Raw genomic sequence first — 15,130 nt, 5'->3', positions numbered from 1 at the left:
ACAGGTACATCTGAAAAGAGACAGTATTAAAAAGTTCCTAGGAAATAAAAAAAAGTACTGACAAAAGAAGTAAAATGGACTTAAAGTCAAATCAAATTAATTTCTTAATTTTGCTTAATGGTACTCCCAGTCACGCCACTCAGAAATCATCTTGTGTAGCTGGTGCAGTGGCTCCTGCCTCTAATCCTAGCACTTTAGGGGGCCAAAGCTGGTGGATGGCTTGAGCCTAGGAATTCAGGACCAGCCTGGGCAACATGACAAAAACCCGCCACTACAAAAAAAAAAAAAAAATTCAGCTGAGCGCAGCGGCATGCGCTTGTAGTCCCAGCTACTTGGGAGGCTGAGGTGAGAGAATCACCTGAGCCTGGGAACTTGAGGATGTTTTTGAGCCACGAGCACGCCACTGCACTCCAGCCTAGGTGACAGAACAAAATCCTGTCTTAAATAAATAAATAAATAAATAAATACCATCTTGTGACACACATAAACACAACAACTACCATTTAGAAGAAGCTGTTTTATGCTGGGTACTTTACAAAGTGCTTTACATACAGAGTCATTCATTCTAAGGACAATCCTGCAAGACATGTAGGATCAGCCTTCCTTACAGATGAGAAAAGGGGTTCAGGGAAATGAGCTCCTTTTCTAAGATCATATAGGTAAGAACAGGCAGAACCGAGACTCAAATAACCAAGATTCAAATCCAAAGTCTTTGTTCTCACTACACCAGCCTGACTCAGGCTTTTTAAGGTTCTAGCCTCCTTGTCATCCTTCAGCTGGCCACACTGTGAAGGCCTCCAGAGAAACAAGTCAGGGCACTGATAGTGGCAGGTCAATTGAGAAAGGTCTTCCCTTCCCAGTTTCCATGTGCTGCCTATTTCTGGCTTCCCGCCATTTGCTGAACTGTTTTGTTAAATGCTTTGATACTATGGTGACTAGCGCTGAGTAAATATCTAGTGTTGTTACGACAACCATAAAACACATCATCTAAACTTGTCTCATACAAATATACAAACTTTATGGGACAGTGGTAGCCACCGCTTGGGGAAGGGAAGAATGAGGAGTGACTGCTAATGGGTACGTGATTTCTTCCTGGAGGATAAAATGTTCTGGAATTAAATTGTACAACTTTGTGAATATACTAAAACCACTAAATTGTACCCTTTAAAAAGGTGAATTTTATGGTATACGAATTACAAGTTTTTTAAAACTACATGGAGATAATCAAATAGTCAGATATTAACAGGTGTTGGTGAAGATGGAGAGAAACTGTAACCCTCATACAGTGCTGGCAGGACTGTAAAATGGTGCAGTTGCTTTGGAAAACTGTTTGGCATAAAGTTACCATATGATCCAGCAATTCCACTCCTAGAGATATATAACGAAGAGAAATGAAAACACATGTCTCTACAAAAACTTGTACAGCAATGTCCATAGAATAGTCAAAAAGTGGAAAGAACCCAAACATCCCTCAGCTGATGTATAAATGAAATACGGTCTATCCATGCAACAGAATATTATCTGACCACAAAAAGGAACAAAGTACTGATATATGCTACAAAATGGGTCAACCATGAAAACATGTTAAATGAAAGAAGCCAGTCAAAGACCTTCTATTGTATGATTCCACTAATATGCAATGTTCAGAGTAGACAAATCTGTAGAAAAAGTAAGTAGATTAATGGCTGCCTCAGGTTAGGATGTCTAAGTGGAAGTAAGAAGTGGGTGCTAATATGTAAGTGGCTGCTTTGTGTGGTGAAGAAAACATACTAAAATTGACTGCTGATGGTTACACATCCCTGTGAGTATACCAAAAATCAGTGAATTATATATTTTAAGTAGGTGAATTGCATGTATATGAATTACATCTTAATAAAACTGTTTAAAAAACACATTAATTTCCATTGTTTTTCTCCCCCCAGGTAAGAATGTGAAAAATAATAATAAATAAGTAATGGTCATTAGTTTTTAGGATAATATTTACCTAAAGCTTTGCCATTTTAACTACAGTGAAAAATTTTTTCTTTTTCTTTTTTTTTTTTTGAGACAGGATCTCACTCTGTCTCCAAGTTGGGGTGCAGTGGTGCAACCATGCAGCTCACTGCTGCTGTGATCCTCCCACCTCAGCCTCCCAAGTAGCTGGGACTACAGGCACGTGCCACCATGCCCAGCTAATTATTTTACTTTTTGTAGAGATGAGGTCTCCCTGTGTTGCCCAGGCTGGTCACAAACTCCTTGGCTCAAGCAATCCTCCACCTTGGCTTCTTAAAGTGCTACAATTATAGGCATGAGCCAGTGCACCCGCCCTATAATGAAAACTTGTTGTAACACAGCTTGAAATCCTGCTTAGTTAAGCATATCAAGGGGATTCAATTCTCTTAAGGGGGAAAAAAAAAAGCTCATTATATGATGACAACTGGACTTCCCTGAGGCTAAGATCAAGGTTTTACCCATTGACACAAATACTGCCTCCAGCAAACCCATAAACAGTGACATGTCTCCTAATGACATGACTATTAGGAATGACATGACTATTAGTGACAAGAGTCCTGCACTATCATTTTTTTTCCAGTACTAGCCTTTGGACAGTAGTAATTGAAAAATGACTACAAATTAAACTAGACAAGGGAGCATAGAGTGAATAAATTTACTTTATTTTACATGTTCTTTTTTTTGGTCTTTTTTTTCTTTATTTTTATATTTTACATTTTCTAAAAAGTGTTACAAGAACATCTACCTACAAAAAACTGCATTTCTGGTTTGCAACTGAATATCATGTTTTTTATATGTCATTTCACATTTGAGAAGCTATTCAATTATTAGAAAAGTACACGTCTGAAAAATTTGAAACTTTATTTACTTAGGAGCTAAGAATTTAACCGAAAAATTAGAGTAAACACATCCTTGTCTAAACTCCTATGCATAAACTCTTTGCATTATTTTTGACATGGAGGATGGAAGCAAGATGGGAAACAAATGTAGGGGGCTTTTGCAGTACTCCAGCTGAAGATGCTGCTGAACTGTGGCAGTGAAGATGGAGAGAAACAGACTGACTTGAGAGATCACAGGGAGATAACATTACTCAGACCGGGTGATGGATACGTACTGAGAGACGACAGGCTGAAGCAAGTTCTTAGGGTGGGGTCCCAGCAACTAAACTCTGAGGGAAGCTTTCCAGGCAATACTAAAGCTTCTTCCCATTCTAGGTCTCTTCCACATCTAGAAAGGATTAATTCCACACCCAAAAGAATCCTATTCAGTTTAAAATTAAGGGTCCCCCATCTCAAACACCTGTGCCCTGCTAACTCACCCCAGGACACTCAGTCCCGCCTCGTCCATGGCCAGCCCGGGCAGACAGGAGTATCCTTTCTTTTAATTTATCAACAAAACTTAAAAGACAAACAAAAATGTATCTGTAAAATATAAAAACTCTATAGATGCACTAGAGGTGAATCACCACATTTTATTCAAGTATAGAGTATACCATCTCTACTATGAAATCTAAGAAACTCACAGCTTAAAAAGGAATTTCATAGATTTAGGTAGATGAAGATCATCATTATACAGACGACAACAACAAGGTAGAGACTGCTTCAGTCTCACCAAGTGACCTGGAATCATAAGATTTGTACTTGGGTTTTATAACTCCTCATTCTGTTTTCTTACTCTTTTGAGACAAGGTCTGGCACTATCGCCTAGACTGGAGTGCAGTGGCAGGATCTTGGCTCACTGCAACCTCCGCCTCCCAGGCTCAAACCATTCTCTCACCTCAGCCTCCCAAGTAGCTGGGACTACAGGTGCATGCCACCAGGCCCAGCTAATTTTTGTATTTTTTTAGAGATGGGGTTTCACCATGTTGGCCAGGCTGGTCTCGAACTCCTGAGCGCAAGTGATCTGCCCTGTCAGCCTCCCAAAGTGCTGGGATTACAGGTGTGAGCCACCACGCCTGGCCTTTCTTACTCTCTTAAACTCACTTTATATAAGATATAGAAAATAATGTTTAAAGTAAGCTGTATAAAGACTATCCCTAGATTTTATAAATCATATGTTTCAAATGCATTAGGGAATAGTAATTCTAAACATATCTTCTCACAGTATTATAAATACTAAATAACTTTAAATTATAAGCTGGGCCCACTGGTGTATACCTGTAGTCCCAGGTACTCAAGAAGCTGAGATAAAAGGATCACTTGAACCCAGGAGTTTGAAACTAACCTGGGCAAGGTAGCATGATCCTGTCTCTAAAATAAATATAATAATAATATAATCACACCTAAGAAAAGTGGAATAAAGACCATGGAAGGGAGGAGTAAAAGGACTCACAATCTTAAAGCTATGACTGACTCATAGGTATGCAACTAAGTATCAGTTCTTAAAGACATCACAAGATGCCTGTAATCCCAACACTTTGGGAGGCCTAGGCAGGAGGATCGCTTGAGGCCAGAAATTCAAGATCAGCCTGGGCAACAGTGCGAGATTCTTTATCTACAAAAATAAAAAGAAAAGAAAAATTAGTCAGGCATGGTAGCACATGCCTGTTGTCCGAGCTACTCCAGAGGCTGAGGTGGGAGAATCGCTTGTGCCTGGGAGATCAAGGCTGCAGAGAGCCATGGTCACGCCACTGCACTTCAGCCTGGGTGACAGAGTGAAACCCTGTCTTGAAAATAAAATAAAATCACAAAATCAGATTGAGAGGCCTGGTGAATTTGCCCTTGAATGATAGTTATAGAATAAACTGATTTATATATACATAGTACTGTAAATATCCTCTGCTTATTAGATCTTTTAAGAAATGCTTTTGCTGGGCACGGTGGCTCACGCCTTTAATCCCAGCACTTTGGGAGGCAGAGGTGGGCGGATCACGAGGTCAGGAGTTTGAGACCAGCCTGGCCAACATGGTGAAACCTTGTCTCTATTAAAAATACAAAAAAAATTAGCTGGGCATGGTGGTGCACACCTGTGATCCCAGCTACTCAGGAGGCTGAGGCAGGAGAATCATCTGAGGAAGGAGAATTGCTTGAATCCAGGAGGCGGAGGTTGCAGTGAGCTGAGATTGCACCACTGCACTCCATACTGGGTGACAGAGTGAGACTCGCCTCAAAAAAAAGAAAAAAAAAAAAAGCTTTCATATCCCTGGTTAAAAATTATTTTGAGTCTACTAAGAAAAAGATACAGGGACGTGAAAAGCCAAATTATGAGTTACATTAACCAGAAAGCCAGATTATGAATTATATTAAAAAGTTTTCAAATTACTTTATTGAATAAATATGGATTTTGTAGAAACTGAAAAGTTTTGTATTTTACTTCAAATTTTAAAAATACAAATAAAAAATACGATATAGACAGATATATTTCTAATTAACCAAAGAAGAGAACAGAAGATGAAGAGGCATTCTACTTAGTTCACTAGAGTCTGATGTAAAATCTGTTGGCTTGGGTAAAAAGTGGTACTACACTAAGGAATCCAGTCTAGGGCATACCAAAACTTTCTAGTCCCATATGTTTCTGATAAAAAAAATAACCAGAGGCTGCCTTTTCCCAAGGGGGCCCTGTGATTCAGGCCAAAAATTCCATAGCTCTAAACTTCAACTGCCAAACTGCATACCAAACAAGAAATACTCTGAATTACTTTTTAACCAAAGTGATACAGATAATTAGAACCAGATGTCTTATTCAACACTACATATTAAATTGTACATTAATATATGTTCCTGTATTTTATTTACCTGCTGAGTGAGATGGAAAGATCTATAAAGAGGTCACAGTAGCATCTAAACTCACAGGTTAGGGATCAAAGCCACAGGAATGACAGAAGGCAATTTTTAAGGTTGATATTGGTAGAAAATGGTCTAATTTATAAAGGAGGGAGAGGAGGCTGCATATATTTAAAGTACCTAATGTGAAAACATGTACAAAGGATGTCAATTTCAGCACTTTTTCTTTTCTTTTTTTTTGAGACGAAGTCTCACTCTGTAGCCAGGCTAGAGTACAGTGGCGTGATCTTGGCTTACTGCAACCTCCGCCTCCCAGGTTCAAGCGATTCTCCTGCCTCAGCCTCCAGAGTAGCTGGGATTACAGGTACACGCCACTGCACCCAGCTCATTTTTTGTATTTTTAGTAGAGATGGCGTTTCACCATGTTGGCCAGGCTGGTCTTGAACTCCCGACCTCAGGTAATCCGCCCACCTCGGCCTCCCAAAGTGCTAATTACAGGCGTGAGCCACCGTACCCGGCCTCAGCACTGTTTATGATAGTAAAAGACTGGGAAGGGCCATAAGGAAGTGATTAAATAAATTGTGTTACACCCATACGGTGGAACAGTGTGGAGACGTATCACACTGGAATATCATGCAGTTGGATCTACTTGTGCTGCGGCGGAACTAGCTCCAGAATATCGTAAGCAAAGAAGCAAGGTGCAGGACAGTAAACACAGTATGGGAGGGAAGGAGGTTCATTTTTAATTAATTAAAGAAGAGGATAAATACTATTTTAAACAATACCTGGTGGTATCTTCTTAGCAGTCCCTTTTTTGCTTCTTGGACTTCTTTTTCCAGGAATTTTTTTGTCCTTTCCCAAGAAGGCCTGTTCATCTCTGGAGGCTTCACAAAGGGTGTTTTGCAAGTTCTCACCTGCAGCCACCTCGCAGCTCAATGTGCAGCTTTCATTATTATTGAGACTGTCCTGCTCAGACACTTGGGGCTTTCCCATCGCACTGTCACTGCTGGTCAGATGCTCATGCCCGTCCCCGTCAAGCTGATTTTCATTTTCATCTGATGCAGAAGGCAGACAGGTCACACTCCTTTCCACGCTGTCACCAGGATGACATCCATCTTGTGGTTCTATTTGCAGATAATATGTAGGAGTATCGCTGTCATCCATTAGAGCATCCTTTGGTGAACCATTTAAAGTTACATTAAAGACCTTCCATGTCTACAATGACAAAAAGAAAAAAGCTACTTCATTTTCTAACCTTTGCAGATTCTCAGTGATCTTTGATTTTCCCCTTCTCTTAGGTTGTTTCATTGTAAATAGGGAAGAGAAGGAAATGACTTAAGTTCATTCCCTTTCACCATATGCAACCCAACCCCAAACTCAGCTAGTTCTCACATGAATACTACAGGTGTCAAGCCTGTCTCCTCATGATGATCACCTGAGAGGCTGCCCAAATTCTATTCTAGACCATTACATCAGAATCTCTGAGGATGGAACCTAGGCACCACTATTTTTCAAGTTCTCTAGGTAAGTCTAATGTGCATCAGGTTGGGACCACTGCCTGAATGAAATGACTAGTTAAATAGGTTATGTGCTGAAATTAGTCTCTTATGTTAATCCCTGGACACTCAGCAGACAACTGAAAGCTAGTTGTATAAGTTCTTCTCTGGCTAAACAGCAGCAATATTTGGAAATGAAAATGTTTGAAGATTTTAAAAAAAAATAACCTAGAAAAAAGTATGTGAGGGGAAGTTTAGGTAGCATATATTTATACTATCGTTTTATTTTTTATTTCCTAAAAATAAGCCCTGGAAGGTACCTTAGAGTTGTCATCAAAATCCTTTTGAACACTTAAAAAAAAAAAAAAAAAGGCCATGGTTAACTCTAGGCTACTCTTAGTGTAGAATTGGAAGAAATGCTAAATCTGCTTGAAGGATACCACTAATATTTTTAAAATTTACAAAACAGACTGCAAGCCCTTTATCAGTCATCTTTTATTTCCTCTTATTATCTACAAGTGTATTACATTTTAAGAAAAATGATAGGTATGAAAGAAATAATCCAGTAATTCTGGAAAAAAACCTCAGTGAGAGGACTTCTAAAGATTCTTCAACTTAATGAGTAGAAATGCTTAATCTTTAGAAACATGTAAAGTACAGTCTCTAAAACCATGAAAAGTACAAGATAAAATATTCACCCTATACCATTAAGGAAGGAGACCACCACTTCTCCTGCTGCCCTCCTCTCTCCCACTTTTGCCTAGTTTATAAGACAGGCGAAAAGGGAGAAAGCAAAAAGTTGGAAAGAAACAGAAGTAAGATAAATAGCCAGACGACCCTGGCACCACCACCTGGCCCTGGTGGTTAAAAAAATAATAATAATATTAACCCCTGACCTAAACTACTTGTGTTATCTGTAAATTCCAGACATCGTATGAGGAAGCCCTGCGAAACTTTCTGTCCTGTCAGCTGATGCATGTAGCCCCCAGTCACGCTCCCCACGCTTGCTCGATCTATCACGACCCTTTCACGTGGACCCCTTAGAGTTGTAAGCCCTTAAAAGGGCCAAGGATTTCTTTTTCAGGGAGCTTGGCTCTTAAGATGCAAGTCTGCCAAAGCTCCCGCCCGAATAAAGCCTCTTCCTTCTTTAATGAGGAGTTCATTAAAACTACAGAATGGGAGAAAATTTTTGCAACCTACTCATCTGACAAAGGGCTAATGTCCAGAATCTACAATGAACTCAAACAAATTTACAAGAAAAAAACAAACAACCCCATCAAAAAGTGGGCGAAGGATATGAACAGACACTTCTCAAAAGAAGACATTTATGCAGCCAAAACACACATGAAAAAATGCTCATCATCACTGGCCATCAGAGAAATGCAAATCAAAACCACAGTGAGATACCATCTCACACCAGTTAGAATGGCAATCATTAAAAAGTCAGGAAACAACAGGTGCTGGAGAGGATGTGGAGAAACAGGGACACTTTTACACTGTTGGTAGGACTGTAAACTAGTTCAACCATTGTGGAAGACAGTATGGCAATTCCTCAGGGATCTAGAACTAGAAATATCATTTGACCCAGCCATCCCATTACTGGGTATACACCCAAAGGATTATAAATCATGCTGCTATAAAGACACATGCATATGTATGTTTATTGTGGCACTATTCACAATAGCAAAGACTTGGAACCAACGCAAATGTCCAACAATGATAGACTGGATTAAGAAAATGTGGCACATATACACCATGGAATACTATGCATCCATAAAAAATGATGAGTTCATGTCCTTTGTAGGGACATGGATGAAGCTGGAAACCATCATTCTCAGCAAACTATCACAAGGACAAAAAACCAAACACCGCATGTTCTCACTCATAGGTGGGAACTGAACAATGAGAACACATGGACACAGGAAGGGGAACATCACACATCAGGGACTGTTGTGGGGTGGGGGGAGGGGGAGGGATAGCATTAGGAGATATACCTAATGCTAGATGACGAGTTAATGGGTGCAGCACACCAACATGGCACATGAATACATATGTAACAAACCTGCACATTGTGCACATGTACCCTAAAACTTAAAGTATAATAATAATAAAATAAAATAAAACAATAATAATAATGATTCAGGGTTTCTTAGCTGACATCTTCAACTGTGAGCTCTATTCTATACCTATGCTATTCAAAATGGTAGCCACTAACCACACAGGGCTATTGAGTACCTGAAATATGAACACACATTGAGGGACTCAATTTTTCATTTTTATAAATTTTAATAAATTTAAATTTTTAAATGGACATCAATTCAGTTACTGAAAAACTCAAGTATGTTTGGAATAACTTGGGTATGTGAATGTTTTTCACCTGTACATTTTATGAAATTGAAATATAGTTCAAGCATTTCCAATGAAAATTGTGTCCAAATTAAGATGTGCTACATTTATAAAATACATACCATATTTCAATGATTTAGTATGAATAAAATCAATATAAAAGAATTTATTAATTCTACACATTGATTGTATGTTGAAATAATACTTTAGATATATTGAATAAACTATTACTAAAATTAATTTTCCCTTTGAAAATTTTTAATGTGGTTACTAGACCACAAAATTACATATATGTCTCACATATTTCTATTGGACGATGCTGCTGTCTATGACATTGCCTTGACAGTGTCACAGTAGCCAAATATGGCTCATGGTGAATCACTCCATTCTGGATTCTTCCTTGCTAACACAAGTTATGCTATAGGTATTTCCTGGATATAGATATTATTATTACTGTAATTAAACAAATGCAAATACTTGTGGAAGGAAATAGATACTATTTAAAATTAATTTTTACCTCCTTATTTCCCATATTCACAATGTAAATCACTAGATCATGCTGTTCCTTTTTTTTTGTACTTCCCCATATTCCAAATACCCCTGGCACTTCATAAAAGTTAAATAGTATTGTCATTAAAACTAGTAAAACGGCCTTTCAGTAATCATTCTAAATACTTAAATTTCTACATAATAGTACAGTATAAAAGTAAATCACATTGTTTTAACATTTCTTTAATAAAAATAAAAAATATAATTTCATAAAGATTTAGTTCTTCATTTAGCAAAAAGAAAGGCCACAGAAGAGAAAATTTATGCTATAAGGTAGGCAAGAAGGATAAAAATGTGACAAAGTTACAAGACACAAAAGGAAAAACAAGAATAAATGTGAAGATAATGATTCTAAGGGAAAAAAACATCAAATACAGATTTTCGGTTATGAAGAGAAAGCACTGTTAAAAATATGAAGAAATTAACTGAAACTATGTGACTCATATTCCGAAAAAAACCTTGGGGCAGATAAAGTGAATGAAAGGAAGCATAATTTGTTTCATATTCCTCAATCCTGCCTTTCACAATGGGGCTTGGTTCAAGATCGCTTATGTATTTACAGGGCTTTTGAGTTCAAAATCCATTACATAAATGGAAATGACAGGTCAAAAGCCTCATTGTGGGTATACCCAAGCAGTATGAAGATAAAGAGTCATCTCTCTTCTCTTTTCCTTCTCTTATGCACAGATATACACAAGTTTTACTTAAATAAACAAAAGAGAAGTAAACACATCCAAATTGTGCTTATTTGGTTTTAAATACCTCTTTGTTGTAAAAATGTACTGCAATCATTCTTTTAAGCCACAACCAACAGAATCTAAGACTTGAAAATACTTTGGTTCAGACTATAGCCACCTCTTTTAAAACAAAAATCATGTTTACTGCCTGTATCAACTATATATCCTCATGGAAACTGTCTTATACTTTACTCATTAAATAGACACATAAAACTATACATTGTTTTAAAATGTCAATTCTTGAAAATACAATGGCAAAAGCAAATAATTTATTAGAACCTTCTTTTAAGATGCCTGACAAAATAGCTTGCATTATCTGAATAAAATGCTGAGACTAGTCGGGCACAGTGGTGTGGCCTGTAGTGTCAGCTACTCAAGAGGCTGAGGTGAGAAGCTTGCTTCAGCCTGGGAGTACCAGACCGGCCTGCGCAACATAGCAAGACTCCATCTCTTTAACAGTTATTGAAGATTTACTAAGTATCAGTGTTTTAAGTTTATTACATATATATAATTTAATCCTTATAAGTCCTATAAAGTAGTTCTAAAATTATTTCCATTTTTTATAGAAGTAAACAGCAATAGAAAGATTAAACGCATAGGCCTCAGTCACGCTGCTATTATGTGGCAAAGCCAGGATTCAATTTAGAATCTGATTCCAGAGCCTGTATCCTTAACCACTATAATCATTTTTAAATTACTTTTAAAAACCAGCTGTTTTCAGGTGTATATGTTGTAAATACCAAATTGCTACTTTAAGGAGGCCACAAAATGAACAATTTCCAATATCTTGAGATGTTTTCCAAATATGTACAATGTAGAAAAATAGGTTACACAGCAAATAAAACCCACCAATAAGACTCTTTATTTGCTGCATTCCTTTAATGTTATGAGTCCATTTCTTCAGGTTTATATGTTGGGCTATATAACCGCCCCATTAGAAATTATCGTAAGATCTCTGACATTCATCTTTGTGCATTTAGAAAAATTTTTACCAGGCAGGCCACAGATACTTACTGAACCAACATCACGTTAAAAAAGAGGGACTAACATGCAAGAGTCTCCAAACTTTGGTGGTGTACTTATATTTATATATTTATATATTATTTATATATCTCAGATATAGCTAAGATATATATGAGATACATAAGATATAGCTTGCATATATATCATATATAGATATATATAAAAGATATGTTATATATTTGATATATCTTTGATATAGATCTTTTATATATCTATGTATCTTATTTATCTCATATAAAGTTGATATAGATGATACATAAGATAGAGCTTGTATATGTATCTTATATATAGAAATATATCAAAGATATATAGCTTTATATATAATATATATCAGATATAATAAAAGGTATATATTATATATACTATATAATAAAGATACATATCAAAGATATACCATATATCTTTGCTTATAAGCATACTATCAGTAATATATACACACACACACACACACACACACACACACATATATATATATATATATCTCCCCCTCTCCCCCAAGACATGGTCTCACTTTGTCCCCCAGGCTGGAGTGCAGTGGCAAGGTCATAGCTCATTGCAGCCTTGAACTCCTGGGCTCAAGCAATCCTCCCACCTTAGCCTCCCAAATAGCTGGGACTACAGGTGCGTGCCATCACATCCAGCTAATTTTTAAATTTTTTGTAGAAACAGAGTCTCACTATGTTGCCCAGGCTGGTCTCAAACTCTTGGCCTCAAGTGATCCTGCCACCTCAGCCTCCCAAAGTGCCAGGATTACAGATGTATGCCACCACGCCCAGCGTAGGCAAAGAAACTGATCGTTGAGTATACCCACTGTAGGTATATCTGTTCATAAATCATATGCACTTATGCTGTATACATATATAGTGTGTGTGTGTGTGTGTGTGTGTGTGTGTGTGTGTGTGTGTGTGTATATTTTTTTTTTTTTTTTTTTTTTGAGACAGAGTCTCTGTTGCCCAGGCTGGAAGGCAGTGGTGTGATCTTGGCTCACTGCAACCTCTGCCTCCCGATTCAAGTGATTCTGCCGCCTCAGCCACCTGAGTAGCTGGGATTACAGGCATGCACCACTACGCCTGGCTAATTTTTGTATTTTTAGTACATGCAGGGTTTCGCCATGTTGGACAGGCTGATCTCGAACTCCTGACCTCAAGTGATTTGCCCGCCTCGGCCTCCCAAAGTGCTGGGATTACAGATGTGAGCCAGCACCTGGCTCTGTCATTTTAAACATGTGCAAAAACAAACATAAGAAAGCTTGTACTTCTGGCAAGGGCAGACTGGCTCATTTCAGACAAACCCCTCCTGCTGATCACTAGAAAAGCTGGCAGAAAGCTTCAGTTTGGAAGCCGGAAAAGCTGAGCAGAGTGTTGAGCAGGCTCACAGAGCTGGACGAAAAACCAGAGTTCGAGGTCTTCCAAGAAGAGGGGACCACAGGCCTTGCGGTGGGACCTAAAAGTGATACTCCCCAGAAGAAAAGGCAAGCCTGAAATAGATCAGTGCTCACAGGGACTAAGGCCCAGCAGAATCAATCATCTAATCTCTGGTTGAATTAAGGTGGTCTGTTCTAACCTGTTGCCTGCCAGAAACTAAAGTCAATCCTCTCTGCAAGATAAATCCAGCAAAGGCTGAAACTATTTCCACAACTTTTCATATGTAATATTCAGTATATAATCCAAAACAACCAGGCATACAAGAGATCACGTCTTGATTTAAAAAAGAAAACTGGGGGAAAAAAACAGCAGAAACAGACTCATAGGAGATCCATATACCGGAGGCAGGGAGGGAGTGGTATGTTGGGAGCAAGGAGTTGGGGAGCATATAGAAGGTTTAAAATAGCCAGTGTGGGAAACTGAACAGTAACTGTCCTGGCAGCTGTGGAGGACTGCAGGGCTGCCGGGACGGTCTACTGAGATGAGTTCCACTACACACTCCGTCTCCATTCGACTTGGTTTCATACACTGTCTTCAAATCAATCTCATCATGCAGATCATCCACAATCTGGCTAAAAGAATCCTGTACCTTAATCTTCTACTTGAGTACAAAGTATCAATAAGACTGATACCTACGCTGGAATTTTTTTCATCATAATGGAAAGACCAGGTTTCTTCAGTCTATCTCGACACCAATTTTCATTTGTGCTCCCTCTTTATTCTTGACTGCACCGCCATTCTTCCCACTTTATGTGGACATCTGAATGCATTTTTTGAAACTCTTGCCCCTGGTTTACTTCACTTAAAGAAAATTAATTCTTAAAATGTTGACTTATATAAGTGAATTTGAAATTTCATATTTCTTAGCGATTTCGGATTCTTCTAACATAGATACATCACTGAATTCTTATACCTATACAAGAAAGCCAACATATGTGGCTGGGCATGGTGGCTCAGCACTCTGCGAGGATCGCTTGAGACCAGGGATTTAAGACCAGCCTGGGTCTTGAAGCGAGACCCCATCTCTACAGACACTCTAAAATATTAGGTGAGCTTGGTGGCGTGTGCCTGTGGTTCTAGCTACTCAGGAAGCTGCGGCAGGAGGACTGCTTAAAGCCCAGCAGTTCAAGGCAGCAGTGAGCTATGACCATCCCTTCACTCCAGCCTGGGAAACACAGCAAGACCTTGCCTCTTAAAAAGAAAAAAAAAGTACAGTTACAGGCAAATTCACATATATTTTCTTCTGCCATCCTCATTGTCTACTTTTTCTTATCTTGAAAAATTATGATATAATGTTGCCCTTTGAATGGGAACACGATGCTCCTGCCCCACATTCAGAGGAACACTGGTTTTAAACTGCTTATGCAATACAAGTGCTAATTCTTTGTCTTACCCAGTGCTCTTTGTAACCAAAAGCCACTTGGCCAGCATTCAAGGTTACTATGAGGACATGAAACAAAGCAAATAAGTCTCCACATGAGACTGAACTCTGACCTCAGAGCTTTAACTAAACTTCACCAGCCTTCAGGGTAATCAATTTTGAGTGTCTACAACAAACAAGATCCACATACTAAATACAATGAGGCAAGAGAGAGACAGATGAGACACAACATGCCCTGAGGACTATATATTCTAAAAGTAGCTAATAAAAATACAAGAGCTGATACTCTAGCAGGTAATGAATTATACGCTATGTCTATAAACCCTGCCCTAACATTCCTCTTCTCTCAAAAAAACTTTGCTACAAAGAAGAATGTGATCAATGACAGGCAATTTCTTTGAGAGTCAGAGGAATGAAGGTTACTTTTACTGTGGAAAGGTGTAATGCGTGAATATTTGAG

The 15,130-nt window shown here is 38.4% G+C and overlaps 1 protein-coding gene across 10 annotated transcripts in view; it reads right to left on the bottom strand.

Moving 5' to 3' along the window:
• The window catches only part of CNST (consortin, connexin sorting protein), a 102,140-nt gene that overhangs the window by 70,155 nt on the left and 16,855 nt on the right, over positions 1 to 15,130 (bottom strand). For 8 of the 10 annotated variants that reach the window (XM_011544111.2, NM_152609.3, NM_001139459.2 and 5 more), the window contains one exon: positions 6,500 to 6,929. The exons of 1 other annotated variant lie outside the window; for it this stretch is intronic. In XM_011544111.2, the coding sequence (XP_011542413.1) occupies positions 6,500 to 6,878 (379 nt within the window). In that variant the 5' untranslated portion in view covers positions 6,879 to 6,929. Of the gene's footprint in view, positions 1 to 6,499; positions 6,930 to 15,130 lie in introns of those variants that run through there. One more of the 10 variants, XM_047447906.1, reaches the window with a different exon arrangement.

This window comes from Homo sapiens, chromosome 1 (assembly GCF_000001405.40).
Source record: "Homo sapiens chromosome 1, GRCh38.p14 Primary Assembly".
NCBI classification, from domain to species: Eukaryota; Metazoa; Chordata; class Mammalia; order Primates; family Hominidae; genus Homo; species Homo sapiens.
This window is presented reverse-complemented; position numbering and strand designations above follow the sequence as displayed.